The 14,472-nt window shown below is 51.1% G+C and overlaps 1 protein-coding gene across 5 annotated transcripts in view, besides 5 other annotated features; it reads right to left on the reverse strand.

Annotated features, from left to right (window-relative positions):
- NUP210 (nucleoporin 210) overlaps positions 1-8,066 on the reverse strand; it is a 104,088-nt gene extending 96,022 nt beyond the window's left edge. For all 5 annotated transcript variants that reach the window (XR_007095651.1, NM_024923.4, XM_011533538.3 and 2 more), the window contains exon 1: positions 7,804-8,066. Coding sequence is in view for 4 of the 5 variants with exons in the window: in NM_024923.4 (NP_079199.2) it covers positions 7,804-7,970 (167 nt within the window). In the remaining variant the exon portion in view is untranslated. The remainder of the gene's footprint in view (positions 1-7,803) is intronic.
- Positions 1,759-1,808: an enhancer, noted in NCBI's record as "active region_19488". NCBI's record gives its function as "activates an Ori minimal core promoter by ATAC-STARR-seq in GM12878 lymphoblastoid cells {active_cell/tissue: GM12878}" and the evidence as "EXISTENCE:reporter gene assay evidence [ECO:0000049][PMID:35858748]".
- Positions 4,209-4,358: an enhancer, noted in NCBI's record as "active region_19489". NCBI's record gives its function as "activates an Ori minimal core promoter by ATAC-STARR-seq in GM12878 lymphoblastoid cells {active_cell/tissue: GM12878}" and the evidence as "EXISTENCE:reporter gene assay evidence [ECO:0000049][PMID:35858748]".
- Positions 4,419-4,488: an enhancer, noted in NCBI's record as "active region_19490". NCBI's record gives its function as "activates an Ori minimal core promoter by ATAC-STARR-seq in GM12878 lymphoblastoid cells {active_cell/tissue: GM12878}" and the evidence as "EXISTENCE:reporter gene assay evidence [ECO:0000049][PMID:35858748]".
- Positions 7,281-7,850: a silencer, noted in NCBI's record as "silent region_14084". NCBI's record gives its function as "represses an Ori minimal core promoter by ATAC-STARR-seq in GM12878 lymphoblastoid cells {active_cell/tissue: GM12878}" and the evidence as "EXISTENCE:reporter gene assay evidence [ECO:0000049][PMID:35858748]".
- Positions 7,901-8,300: a silencer, noted in NCBI's record as "silent region_14085". NCBI's record gives its function as "represses an Ori minimal core promoter by ATAC-STARR-seq in GM12878 lymphoblastoid cells {active_cell/tissue: GM12878}" and the evidence as "EXISTENCE:reporter gene assay evidence [ECO:0000049][PMID:35858748]".

Raw genomic sequence — 14,472 nt, forward strand, 5'->3', positions numbered from 1 at the left:
AGGGTTTCGCTATGTTGCCCAGGCTGGTCTTAAACTCCTGAGCTTAAGCGATCCTCCTGCCTCAACCTCCCAAAGTGCTGGGATTATAGGCATGAGCCACCATGCTCGGCCCTTTTCTTATTATTGTATTAAATGGATTCTTCTTTACTAAAAAATTACTTTAAAAGGAAACCTTGGCCAGGTGTGGTGGCTCACACCTGTAATCCCAGCACTTTGGGAGGCAGAGGAGGGCTGATCACCTGAGGTCGGGAGTTCGAGACCAGCCTGGCCAACATGGCGAAATCCCGTTTCTACTAAAAACACAAAAATTAGCCGGGCATGGTGGTGGATGCCTGTAATCTCAGCTACTCAGGAGGCTGAGGCAGGAGAATCGCTTGAACCTGGGCAGCAGAGGTTGCTGTGAGCCAAGATCTTGCCACTGTACTCCAGCCCAGGCAATACAGCAAGACTCCATCTCAATTAAAAAAAAAAAAGGGAGGCTGAGGCAGGTGGATCATGAGGTCAGGAGAGCAAGACCATCCTGGCTAACATGGTGAAACCCCGTCTCTACTAAAAATACAAAAAATTAGCTGGGCATGGTGGCGGGCACCTGTAGTCCCAGCTACTTAGGAGGCTGAGGCAGGAGAATGGCGTGAACCCAGGAGGCGGAGCTTGCAGTGAGCCGAGATCAGGCCACTGCACTCCAACCTGATCAACAGAGCAAGACTCTGTCTCAAAAAAAGAAAAAAAGCCAGGCACAGTAGCTCACGCCTGTAATCCCAGCACTTTGGGAGGCCGAGGCAGGCAGATCACGAGGTCAGGAGTTCGAGACTAGCCTGGCCAATATGGTGAAACCCCGTCTCTACTAAAAATACTAAAATTAGCCAGGCGTGTTGGCACATGCCGGTAGCCCCAGCTACTCAGGAGGATGAGGCAGAAGAATTGCTTGAGGCCGGGCGCGGTGGCTCACACCTGTAATCCCAGCACTTTGGGAGGCCGAGACGGGCGGATCACGAGGTCAGGAGATCGAGACCATCCTGGCTAACATGGTGAAACCCCATCTCTACTAAAAATACAAAAAAAAGTTAGCCGGGCGTGGTGGCAGGCGCCTGTAGTCCCAGGTACATGGGAGGCTGAGGCAGGAGAATGGCATGAACCCGGGAGGCGGAGCTTGCAGTGAGCCAAGATCGCACCACTGCACTCCAGCCTGGGCGACAGAGCAAGACTCTGTCTCAAAAAAAAAAACAAACAAACAAAAAAGGAAACCTTACACACTAGTGTAAATAAGAATATCACAGCATTTGTCATCCATCCAGATGACTCAAAGCAGTGTCAGTAAGTCCTGGGGGGAAGCTGCTACCTGCAAAGACTCTAGGCGTCTGCCTGTTCTCTTGGGAGACAGGCAAACATCAAAGAGTACAATGAAAAGATGGTGTTGGCCAAGGCCCGAGCAGGAGAAAATAGGGAGTTGCTATTTAATGGGTACAGAGTGTCCATTTGGGAAGATGAAAGAGTTCTGAAGGTGGATGGTGGAGGTGGCTGCACAACAATTGTGAACGTACTTCATGCCACAGAACTCTACACCTAAAAATGGTTAAGGAGGTCGATTATATGTTATATATATTTTACCACAATTTAAAATAAAAAAATATGTAAACCACATACAGACACCAGAAGAAAACTTTTATTTTGAGGAAAATTAAAGGACTGACAGTGAGTTTTGAAAGAGTGAATTTTTCTCATTCCCACTGTCGCATGAGGCCCCACTGGCACACAGAATGTGCTGGCGTCTGGCAGGCACTGCTTTTGAGGGGGTGCTCCCCACTCTTCACAACACAGGAACAGGAGGCAGGCAGGCCATAGGGGAACTCAGGGACCTGGGTCAGGCCAGAAAGCAACAGTGAAAAGAAAAGAGAAGTGAGAGTTGCACAAAGAACAAGGATGGGTGAGGGTGGTGGATGACACACGCCACCTCCCATCCACCCGCGGGGTCCAGCCCCTAACGGTGCCCAAAGGCAGTGTCTACAGAGCGGAAGCCACCTCGTGGGGCTGACAGAGCTCAGGCAGAGTGGGGGACCCACAAAGGAAGCAGGAAGAAAATCACCCAAGGCCCAAGTCAACCCAGGTCCACAGACACTTCCTGGCACTTCCCTGCTGCGGGCCTGGTGAAGGGAGTTGAGCAAGGCCCGGTCCAGCCCTGCAGGGGCCACAGCTACAGACAGCCCTCAGGGGCCAGGGAGAACGAGGCCCAAAAACCAGGCCCAGTCTAACCCTGCCCACATCTGACCTGGCATTCTCCTTCCTGTCTCCTAACCACAGCCCACAAGGTCCCACATGGCCCCGCCCTGCCAACCTCTCCACCCTCCCTCCCAGCCCTGCTGCCCTGGCCAAACGTGCTGCCTTTGCGCACTTCTGACAAGCTCTATCTCTCCTCCGGCCCTTTGCACTTGCTGTCCCCTCCAACTCAACCCCACTCCACTCCTAGTTCGACTCCCAGGAGGCTTATGCTGAGCGCCCTCCCCAAAACACATTCCATGCCTTGCAGTTCTGTTTCCTTCAGGACTTACTCCTGCCTCACATGCATCCACAGATCTCATCTTAATTAACCGTTTAACTCCGGCAATCAACTGTGAGTCCCTGAGAGCAGGGCATCTCCTGCTGCTTCACTGTCACATCCCAGGACCTCAAGTAGTGCCTGGCTCATAGTAAGAGTCACAGACAGGTGGGTGTGGTGGCTCATGCCTGTAATCCCAGCACTTTGGGAGGCTGAGGCGGGTAGATCACAAGGTCAAGAGATCTAGACCATCCTGGCCAACATGGTGAAACCCTGTCTCTACTAAAAATACAAAAATTAGCTGGGTATGTGCCTGTAGTCCCAGCTACTTGAGAGGCTGAGGCAGGAGAATAGCTTGAACCTGGGAGGTGGAGGTTGCAGTGTGCCGAGATCGTGCCACTGCACTCCAGCCTGGCAACACAGCGAGACTCCATCTCAAAAAATAAAAAGAGTCACAGACATTTGTCACCTCTTATTCAGTGACTCTCCAGCCCTCCTCGGTGAAATATGTGTCGTCCATCAGTGCTTGTCCCCTGGTGCTCAGGCAGGACGGGTCTTCACCGTGTGCCCTCTCCCAGGCCCTGCGGGAGCTCTGGTTTCTCCACCCCACTTTCTAACTGCCAGAAATGCCATCAAATAGGCCCAGATGATAACGCAATCGACCAAAGCCTGTGACTCTAAGGCCAGGCATAAGGAAGGAGACAGAGATTTGGCCTAGGTGTGTGGGGATGCAGCATGCACACAAATTGAGTGGTACAGGGGAAAACACTCTCAACGAAAAGAGCAGAAGTACAGGTGTGGGCTCAGGGAAGGCCAAGTGAAGGAGGTACAGAAGAGCAAACTGGGGGCCTCCCGTCGAATTCAACTCCCTCTTTTGGGTTGTTTCCACTTTGTGAATTTTTTATTTTGACTATGGGGCAACTTCTTACAGGCCCTGTTGCCTCACCTGTGCAAGTTTCCAGCATGTGACCTGCTGACGTGCCCGTCCCAGAGGCTCAGGGTCCCTGAGCCCAGCAGAAGCCAGCTAGGCCAGATGACACTCTGACTTGGCTCAGCGTGCATCCCTCACCCTTAGTGCCCAACTTCACCCACGAAGGCCTGTGAGGGGATTTGCTGCAGCTTCCCCTGCTGGGGCAGGGAGAGGGACCCAGGACATCCACACGCAAGGGTAGTGCTGGCCTCTGGCCTCCCACAGTCACCCCTCAGCAAAGAGGGACTCCCCAGGGGTCATCTGAACTGCCTGGGGTACAGCATGCCCCAAGGCCAAGCTCCACGGCATAGGGACCAGTGCCCTCCCTGGCCCTGAAAGGACTCCCATCTACCTGTTTGAGAATCCTTACACCTGTGACTGAGAAGTGCCCCAGACCACATAAGAGAGGGTGTACCCTGGTGCAGGACCAGGCCTGGCACACGTGTTAGATGGCTCCAAGGTGCCCAGGAGAGACTGTCAGGGGCAGGAAAGGAGAAGTCTGTGAACAGCTTGGTATGGCAGTCACTGTGCATGCTGTGTCTGGATGTTGTTCACCAGGCAGGTCCACATCCCCTCCCCACCTCAGCCAGGGGAGCTGCAGGTCGTAATTCAAAACAGAGTGTCTCCGCCAGAGGCCCGGGAGGTCGCACAACATCCCCTTCCCCAGGGGAACCAATGGCTGCCTGACAGTGGGTACAAAAGCTCAAAGCTTGGTCTCTTCGCCTGAAGGCAGGACAACCTGCAGGCAGCCTCCCTTCCCTATCCAGCTGCCCAACAGAGCACTTTCTCTGTAAACTAGGGCAGCAGAATCCTGCCTCAGGCTCCACCCCTGGGAAACCAATCTGAGCCACTCACTTTCTCCAAGACAGCGCCCCCTTGCTGGAGCACCCAGAATACCCTGGGACTCCATGACAGGGAAAGAATCAATGAGGAGGCAACTTCAACCCAGCAGAAAGGTGCTCAGACACGGAGCCCTCAGGAAGAAGCAACAGAGCAGTGCTTGGGCTTCAGTGCTAGCCAGTGTTGGCAGGGGAGGAGGTTCCCGAGGTGCCCAAATAACCAGGTTCAAGGCAATGTAAGAAAGGAGCTAGGAGAGGAAACATAAGTGACCGAAAAGAAACCAAAATGCTGCCTGTGATTGTATTACAGCTGGAAGATTATGGCATGATTTCTTTTTCGTCTGTTCTCCCAGTTTTTGATATGAGGTCGTTTTGTATATACCTTTAAAAGGAGCAAATGTAATATACTTTATGGAACACTTTCAATAATGCAAAATATCTAGAAGGAATCAGGAACTTGTCACAAAACCAGTGCTGGCTGGGTGCAGTTGGAGAGAATTAGAGCCTGGCAAATTAGCCAGAGGCTGCCAGTCCCCAGGTCTAATGGCGTGGGACAGGGAGGGGTCCCAGCAGCTCCTGCTCCAACTCAGTGTCCATCGCTACAAGACTTCCCAGAGATCACTTCCCCTTCTGGAGCTCAGGTTTTCCTATATGAAACACAGGCTGTTTAAACTAGGTGACCTCTAAGGTTCCCCTGGCCCGAAAACTGTCCAATTTTGATGTTATAAAATAAAAAAAATAGGAAAAGTAAACATGAAGCTGTTGGCTCAGGCACACACAGTGATTTCTGTAAACTTAGAGCTCAGCTGCAAATTCAATGGATGTGCAAATGTTCCCACAGGGTCTGGCAGAATTCTCATTTTCTTTTTCGTCTGAGAGACTTAACAATGAACTTTCTGGATGAAGAGGTAATGTTCCTCCCAGGTTTAGAGGACTGTGGATATATGTCTATAGGCCAGCTCTTAAAATCTCCAGAGCAGATTCTTCAAAACTGCAGCAATAGACGACTACACTAGGAACAGCAATACTAAAAATAAAGAAAATATTCTCAATGCTTGATTGACAGAATGTCTTCCTGTCAAGTTAAGGGGGAATCACAATTTCCAAACACCTCTGAGAAGACACTTTGAATAGCAGTCACACATCTGCAGTCACACATCTGCAATACAAACTACAGATCAACGCCAAACACGTTATAAGGTACTTAGCACTTCTCTGATGCATCAGAGATTAAGAATGTTTTTTCCCTTTTTCCTACCAAGTAAATTAAAATCCACCAACACCCTTCAGCTCCTCTCAGAAAAGAAAATGATGTTGGGGGGGAAAAAAGTGTTGTTAGTTTAGAAAAAGAAAAAAGTACAGCTATAGAATCTCAGAGAAAGTAACACACAAATATATCCAAAGGGATTCACTTGAAGCCAGCTGTTTTTAATAACCAGTTTCCTCTTTCTTGCCCACATACTGAGAGGACAGACAGCTTCAACAAGAGAATGAGCATGTATCCCCGCCACAGTATTGACTAACAGCTGATTTTCCCACACAAGACTAGGCCTTAGACTGGGATACAGAAAACCTAATGCCCAAGTTCAGCCTCTGGCATCAGGCCAGAAATAGGAGCCTCCAGGTGCATAAAGCACTAAAACCAAAATGCAATGGGCTGACCTAGTACGTCTTGATTTCAGGAAGGAGACCTTCAAAAAAGAAATAGGGCAGGCCGGGTGCAGTGGCTCACGCCTGTAATCCCAGCACTTTGGGAGGCAGAGGCGGCGGGATCACTTGAGGTCAGGAGTTCGAGACCAGCCTGACCAACATAGTGAAACCCCATCTTTACTAAAAATACAAAAATTGGCCAGACAAGCCAGGCATGGTGGCTCACGCCTGTAATCTCAGCATTTTGGGAAGCTGAGGCAGGTGGATCGCTTGAGGAGTTCTCCTTGGTCTTGAGGAGTTCAAGACCAGCCTGGCCAACACAGTGAATCCAGAGTTTGAGACCAGCCTGGCCAACATAGTGAAACCCCGTCTCTACTAAAATGCAAAAAACTAGCTGGGTGTTGTGGCGGGCGCCTGTAATCCCAGCTACTCGGGAGGCTGAGGCAGGAGAATCGCTTGAACCGGGGAGGCGGAAGTTGCAGTGGACAGAGATCGCGCCATTGCACTCCAGCCTGGGCAACAAGGGCTGGAGTGCACTCTAAAAACAAACAAACAAACAAACAAAATTAGCCAGGTGGCCTGCACCTGTAATCCCAGCTACGAGGCGGGAGAATCGCTTGAACCCGGGAGGTGGAGGTTGCAGTGAGCCGAAATCGCACCACTGCACGTCAGCATGGACGACAAAGCAAAACTCCGTCTCAAAAAAAAAAAAAAAAAAAAAAAAAGAAAGAAAGAAATAGGGCAAATAGTGCAAGCAACAGAGAAAGCTGGCTGGTCTGAGCTTCGGGCATCACACTTACATACACGCACAGACTAATACTCAAACAGGCTTGACACACACATGTCCAGGCTTACACACATGGCTGTCACGTGGTCACACCCCGTTCTGCCTCAACCTTGACCCAGTCTTGAAACAGAAATAAAGGGAGCAACTACTGAGCATCCTGGGGGTGGGAAGGGCGGAAGCCCATCTTTTCACCCCTAGGACGGCTGGGCTGGGAAGCTAAGGGCGCTCAGTCGTGCCCACGCAGCCTTGCCAGGGGCAGGAGCTCCATTTCCCCTGGTCTGCAAAATGGAAGGGCTGGACTGCACCGCCCTGTCAGTGTCGGTCTCTGGTTTCATGGGTCCCTGTGGTTCCACAGGGTCACACTCCGCATCCGACCCCTTGGAGAACTCCCAACCCGAGAGGGAGGGTGATGGAAATGCCCTGAGCATCAGGACCCGCGCCGAGGCAGCCTGAGGGGAAGCGCCGGCCTGCCTCGTCTCACTTCGCCTCTGTAAAGCGGCCCCTGGGCTTCCCTCCAAAACTCCTTTCCTCCAGGGTCTCCGTTCCTCCCCGCGACGCTAGGCGCTGCGCTTCGTTTCACAGACTCACTTCCCACGCCAGGGCGAGGGCGGTCACAGACAAACCCGAGCTGGGGTCCCAGACTCAAGGGAAGTGCGGCCCAGCTGCCCCGGCGCCCCCTCCCGGGTCAGGCCGGCTCGGGCCCGGCCGGCTTGGGCCCTGCGGTCCCAGACGCCGCTCCCCAGGCCACCCCTCCTCCCGCACAACCCAGAACACGCGGGTCACGGCCGCCAGGCTGCGCCCGCTCTGCTCGCGCCTCAGCGGCGCGGAGGCCCGGACGGCGCCATGACATGAGCAGTGGTGGCGACCCACGCGCACCCGCCGCTCCGAGTGCTGCAGCCTAGCGCCCAGCGAGAGCGCGCCGCGCACCTGCCGGCTCTGCCGGCCTCCCGGCGCCCGCCCAGCCTCTCAGCGCGAAGGCCCAGCCCGGCCCACGGCGCCCGCCCGGCCCGGCCGCGCGCCTCACCAGCGGTAGCAGCCCTCCGAGGCCTCCAGCGTGAAGTTAACGCGCGTGGCCCGCGTGAAGGGCAGCAGCACTTTGGGGATGTTGAGCTTGGCCGCAGCGGCGGAGGGGCCCGCCGCCAACAGCACCGACAGCGTCAGCAGCAGCAGCCCCCGGCCCCGCGCCGCCATCCTCGCCGCGCGTCACCTCCCGCGACCCTGCGCCCGGCCGCCCGCGCCGCCCCGTTGCCCTCCGCTCCCGCCCGCGCGCGCGCCAGGCCAGCAGGTGATGAGCGCGGGGGCGGGGCGAGGGCCGTCGGCGGCCGCCGCTTCCTGGGCCTGAGCGCGGGAACTCTGGGGGCCGAGCTCGCGGCGACCCCACCCCCAGCCCGGCCCTCGCGCAGGGACGCGGGGCTGGGGGATGGGCGCGCGCCCGGGCCCCCGGAGCTGAGGGAGAAGGCTTGGGGCGCGCCCGCGGGGACCCCTGGACCCTAGAAGTCCCAAGGGGGAGCCCCCGGGGCGCCCCGCAGCACGCATCCCGCCCTGGTATTTGCCCCTGGCGGTGGAGCCAAGCCGCCGGCTTTGGACCTTGCGCTCTGGCCCGGACCCACGGTCAGCAAGGAAGGGACACATGCCCCAGGACATTTGGGATGCAGAAAACCGGCGCCTGCCTTGTCCCAGCCCATGCTTCCCAGAAGAGGGACCCCGGGCTCGCAAAGGGAAGCCACCTGCTGAAGCGCTGAAGGCCCGGGGCCCGCTCCCCCTCGACCCCCTCACACCCTTTCCAGAGAGGCCTTAAGATTCCCATTTCTCCAGGAAAAAACCGGTTGAATGGCCCCCAGATCACTCAGCCAGAGAGCCCCAAGCTCTTGTCCTCCGCACTGCACCCCCTGCGGAAGCCATTAGAGGTTACCTATAGGTCATTTAGGGCGCCAACGCTGCCAGAGCACAACCCCCTCCACGGCCCCCACACCCACAAAAGAAAGTTTAGCACCGCGGAATCCACCTGCACACCAATGGAAGGCCTTAGATTCCGCGCTGTGCTCTGTGGCTTTTAGCTGTCTGTCGTGAATTGCATGAAGGCATGCGTCAGCAGGCACCTGACTGCTTGGTGCCGCTAAAATATGAATCTAGCCTTGCAGAGAAGGCCCAGCCTAGCGGGAGGTCAGGAAAGGGTGGGGTGAGGGTGCACTGGCCGGCTGTCTGAGGAGTGCAGGAAGTGGATGCTGACTGTAACCAGGAAGACACACAACGATGCCACTGGGTGACCAGGAAGGAGAGGATAAATGTCAGTAAGGCTAGGAAGGCTTTTTGGAGGCGGCGGCCCCTGGGTTGGGCATAGACACCGCACTGGGCTTCAGCGAGGCCCGCATAGGCTGAGCCTGCCCCTCAGGGATCATGGGGCTTTTGGATGGTGATGCGGGGTGTTTGGGGTCACCCTCGAAGCCTGAGGGCCCTAGACCAGGGAATGTGTGTGTTGGGGGAAATCTCTGGAGATAACCAGAACTAAGGGGGTGAGGGTCGGCCCTGTGTGGAACCAGGTGCTCTGGGAGGGGAATTCCAACGGGCTCCCTTTGAAGAAACAAAAAACAGACTTGCGCGGAAAAGGCAGCCTCAGAGGGTATTTGTGAGGAAGTCTGTGGGTGTCTTCTGGGTTGCACAAGATTGATTTGTTTTCCAACAGGTAATCCAGACAGATGGTTGAAACTTAGGCTCAAAAGGGTTCCAAGTGAAAGTGATTCCTCTCCCTCCCCATCACCCAATACCCTTCCCTACAGGCAATGAGTGTTTCCCACTTGAGTATACATCCAGAGAAATTTTATGCATAAACAAGCATATATATATATAAAACATGGCACACATGCACACACATACACATACATGCACACACATATGTATATATGAAATATGGCACATATACATACATATACATATGTCTTGCGAGGCAGGTAAATCTCACTCTTGGACATATATCCTAGAGAAATGAAAAGTGATGTTCCCACAATCACCTGTACATAAAACATTCATAGCAGCTTTATCAAATAGGCCCAAACTGGAAACAGCACAGAGGTCCTTCATGGGTGATGATTAAATACTGTGGCACATCTATGCCATGGAATATTATTCAGCAAAAAAAGAAATGAACTGCTAATACATCCATCTTGGATGAAGCTCCAGGGAATTATACGGACTGGAAAACAAACACTACAAAAGCACAAAAGGTTACATACTGTAAACTTGCTTTTATACAAGATTATTGAGTTGGCAAAATTATAGAAGTATAGAGCAGGTGAGTGATTGTGGGGTCAGGGGCGGCGTGGCATAGGAAGTGATGTGGCTATAAAAGGTCAACATGAGGAGTCCCTGGGATGGAAGTGCTTGGTGGCTTGACTGTATCAATGTCCATTTCCTGGTTGTGATATTATCCCATAGTTTTGCAAGATGTCTACTAGTGGAAACGGGGTAAAGGGCACATATTATAGCATCTCTCTTGTTATTTGTTACAACTGCATGTAATCTACAATTATCTCAAAAAAAGAATCATACAAACAGGCCCAGCAAAACACATCTGAGTGGACACAGCTTGCTAAACAACTACGTTTCAGGTGATTTAAGGCAATCAGGAAATTTTCCCAGCAGAAAACAATCCATGGAAGACAACAAAATGGGCCGGGTGCGGTGGCTGTCACCTGTAATCCCAGCACTTTGGGAGGCCAAGGTGGGCAGATCACCTGAGGTCAGGAGTTTGAGACCAGCCTGGCCAACATGGCAAAACCCTATCTCTACTAAAAATACAAAAAGTCGCCAGACATGGTGGCATGCATCTGTAATCCCAGCTACTGGGGAGGCTGAGGCAGGAGAATCACTTGAACCTGGGAGGTGGAGGTTGCAGTGAGCTGGGATCAAGCCACTGCACTACAGCATGTGCAACAAGAAACTCCATCTCAAAAAAAAAAAGGCAACAAAATGATGGGTAAAACATTTTCCATCTGAGATTTTATCCCTTTACGTTGTCCTTAAACTTGCCCCCAGACCCCATTTCACTTGCCTACAAACCTGGTATGAGATGGTATTTGGGGCCAAGCCAGGGGTCCATGTGTAGGGGCCACCCCCACCTTCTCTGTGGGCTGTTTCCACTCCCTGGCATTGGGCCCCTTCTTTGGGTGTCAGTGTTTATCTGAGATGCAGGGAGCCAGCCATGGACAATGGCCTGAGCACAGCCTTCTGTCCTGGCACAGAGACCCTCTGGGCTGGAAGAGACCACAGATTTGAGTGAGCCGGTTACCCACCTGATAACTAAAACCAGATAGGAAAATGTCTCCTGACCCACATCAGGGTCTCCCAAACTTCTGTTACTTTCTACCACCCTAAAACATTTTAAAAAATAATATCTATCTGAGTGCCACTTGTGCTGTTATTTCCTGTCTTTAAATCAAAGTGTTTACATATATTTACTTAAGAAGCAAACTTTGTCTCTTCTGTTAATAAAAAGCCATTATCAGTTTGCAAAATATAATAGAAGTAGCCATAAAATAAATACAGCGAAACAAAAGAATGCCTTCAAATTACCGCAGGATACTATTTCTTGCTAAAGGCTGAGAGCCCAAGGCCTGCTCTCAGGGCCTTCAGTGGGAAGATAACCAAACACAAGACAGTGTGAAGGACAAACCACACTAATCTTGACCTTTCTCCTTGGGCATACAAGTATGGAGAGATTTTTCAAGGCAATTAACTTTTTCCTAGGGGGACGTTGTCCTTTTAGAGCCTACCCACCATCTTTTTGTGACAACAGTAATTTTTATTTGTATTTCATTTATTTATTTATTTTTGAGACAGGGTCTCTCACTCTGTCACCCAGGCTGGAGTGCAGTGGTGCAATCTCAGCTCACCACAGCCTCTACCTCCTGGGCTCCAGCCATCCTCCCATCTCAACCTCCTGAGTAACTGGGATTATAGGTGTGTGCCACCACATCCAGCTAATTTTTGCTTTTTGTTTTGTTTTGTTTTGTTTGTAGAGACAGGGTTTCGCCATGTTGCCCTGGCTGGTCTCGAACTCCTGGACTCAAAGGATCTGTGCCCCTTGGCCTCCCAAAGTGCTGGGATTACAGCCATGAGCCACTGTGCCCAGCCCAAACAGTAATTTTAAAGAATCATTCTGCAGTGGGGAAACTTAAAGAGTCATAGAGTAGACAGTGGTATAATGAAGCCCCATGACTGTCCAGTTCTGTGGCCACAATCCACAGCCAATTCTGCTGCTTCTGCAGTCACCACAGGCCCCACCCTATCTCATTTTGAAACAAATCCAAGATATCCTGTCATTTCGTCTGTATTTCAGTTTGTATCGCTAAGAGATAAGGACCCTTTTATAGACATAACCACAATACTATTATCACACATAAAAAAGTTAACAGTAATCTTATGGTCATAAAATATTATTAGAGTTCAAATTTCCAACTGTCTCATACATTCATAATACCTTTTTACAGTTTATACTTTCAGAATCAGGATATAAGTAAAGTTCACACATTGCAATTGATTGAAATGTCTTTTAAGGCTCTTTCAATCTATAGGCTTCCTTCCCCATTTCTCCTTTTCTCCCTGAATTTAAATGTTGCCCTTTGACCTCTGGAGTAGACATTTGTGTTTTCAGACACCCCCAAGCTGAGTCCCCACTAGCCTGGGCCCTACTGCAGCAGCAATGGGGGTTTCCGCCTCTCACAAGTCTGCCCCCAGGCTTTGGTCATGGACTCTGGAAATGGAGGAAAGGGACACCCACTGTGGACCTTCAGCACCACCTCTGAGCTGGAAACCTTGGCTTTGGGCAAAACAAAAAAGAAGTAAAACACCAGGAGCACTGGAATGGCTTCCACCTTTGCAAAGTGCTTTCCAAAACCCCATCATACTTAAGAGAATGGCAACACTTAATTACAGAAATTGCTGCTCAAGTCAATGCCCAGACATGCCTCCTGCTCATGGGGCCCATTTTCTGGATGCGTTTACTCTTCCTCAGAATGTGTTCCTCACACTTGCCACCTTCAGCCTCTGCCAGGATTGGCAATTGTTTGCTTCCTGTGGGCCCCTGGGTCCTTCCCCACAGGCATCACTAGAGGATGATGGCTGCAGAATAAGTGATGGCAGCCAGCTTGTCACACCTTCAGCCTGCCTTGGAAGTCCAAGCGCACGTGTGTTATCCCAGCCACCTCAATCTGATTCCAGCAAACCTAGCTGGATACACAAGGGAGTCCTCAGACATCACCAGGCCACCAACTCTGCAAGAGTACAGGCTCTCTACTCCTTGCTTTCTAGAACTACCAACAGCATGATCCCTTTTCATGATGGTTAATTTGTGTGTGAACTTGACTGGGCTAAGGGATGCCCAGATAGCTGGCAACACATGGTTTCTGGGTGTGTCTGTGAGGGTGTTTCTGGATGAGATTAGCATTTGAATCAGACTGAGTAAAGATCTGCCCTCACCCATGTGAGTGGACACATCCAATCCCTCAAGGGCCCGACTAGAACACAAAGGTGTAGGAAAGGCAAATTCACTGTCCACTTGGGCTGGGACATCTGTCTTCTCCTGCCATTAGATATTGGAGCTCCTGATTCTCAGGGCTTTGGACTATGGAACTTACAACCGCACCCCCCACCCCGACCCTGGGCTCTCAGGTCTTTGGACTGACAGGCTCTAAAGCCTTCAGGCTTGGACCAAATTATATCACCAGCTTCCTTGGGCCTCCAACTTGTAGACAGAAGGCTCTGGGACTTCTTAGCCTTCATAATTATGTGAATCAATTCTCATAATCTCTCCATCTCTACAACCACCCCTCCCCGCCACACACATACACACACACCCATACCCACACACCCACACTCTTATTCTGTTTCTGTGGTGAGCCTAATACATTCTTCTTGCTTCTGAGCTCCCCTTGGTGCCAGAGTGGTCAACACAGATCATGGCATACCCCTCAGGGGGCCAGCCCTCCACAGCCTCCCAGGTGGCCTTGACAGAGAATTCAAACTCCTGCTTGTGGTCCCCAGGCCCTCCGAGGCATCCTCTCTGACCTTTGCCTCCCAGACTCACTCCTCTGGCCTGGCCCCACCTGGGTAGTTCAGACCTCCTTAGCATACCTAGCAAATTGGACCCCCTAGGGAAGATAGTTTTTGAACCACTCCTCCTTTATAAGACAAAATTATTTTCAGTAATAAACATGAAATGAAATATAATAATTTCTAGGAAAAAAATAACATTTTATTAAACTTTTTATAGATAAGCAAGCCAGCAACATTTTTAAATAAAAATAAAATACTACAACCAAAAAAGGAAAAGCTAGTGGCTTAATATTTTTAAAATTATATTAATGTATTTTTAGTTACATTCAGCATGGAATAGCTGAATAGCAGTAACTCAAATTTGTCTTTATAATCACTATGCCATCACTGGTTATCTGAAATCTACAGTTTAAACACAACAATGTATAGTACCATAAGGGTTGGAGAAAACAACTCTCCCCAAAGCAAGCTCAAAGGATTCCAAAAAGTTATAAGCTTACTCTGGGAACAAACACATGAGCTGAATTGATGTATATGGGGGGCAGATGTTCTAGGAGTTCTGTAAATTAACATCCATGTAGAATGCATTGCTAATAAAGGATCAATTTCAAAAAAATGTTTTATTTTAGGCCAGGTGCAGTGA

The sequence above is a fragment of the Homo sapiens genome, chromosome 3 (genome assembly GCF_000001405.40).
Source record: "Homo sapiens chromosome 3, GRCh38.p14 Primary Assembly".
Classification (NCBI taxonomy): Eukaryota; Metazoa; Chordata; class Mammalia; order Primates; family Hominidae; genus Homo; species Homo sapiens.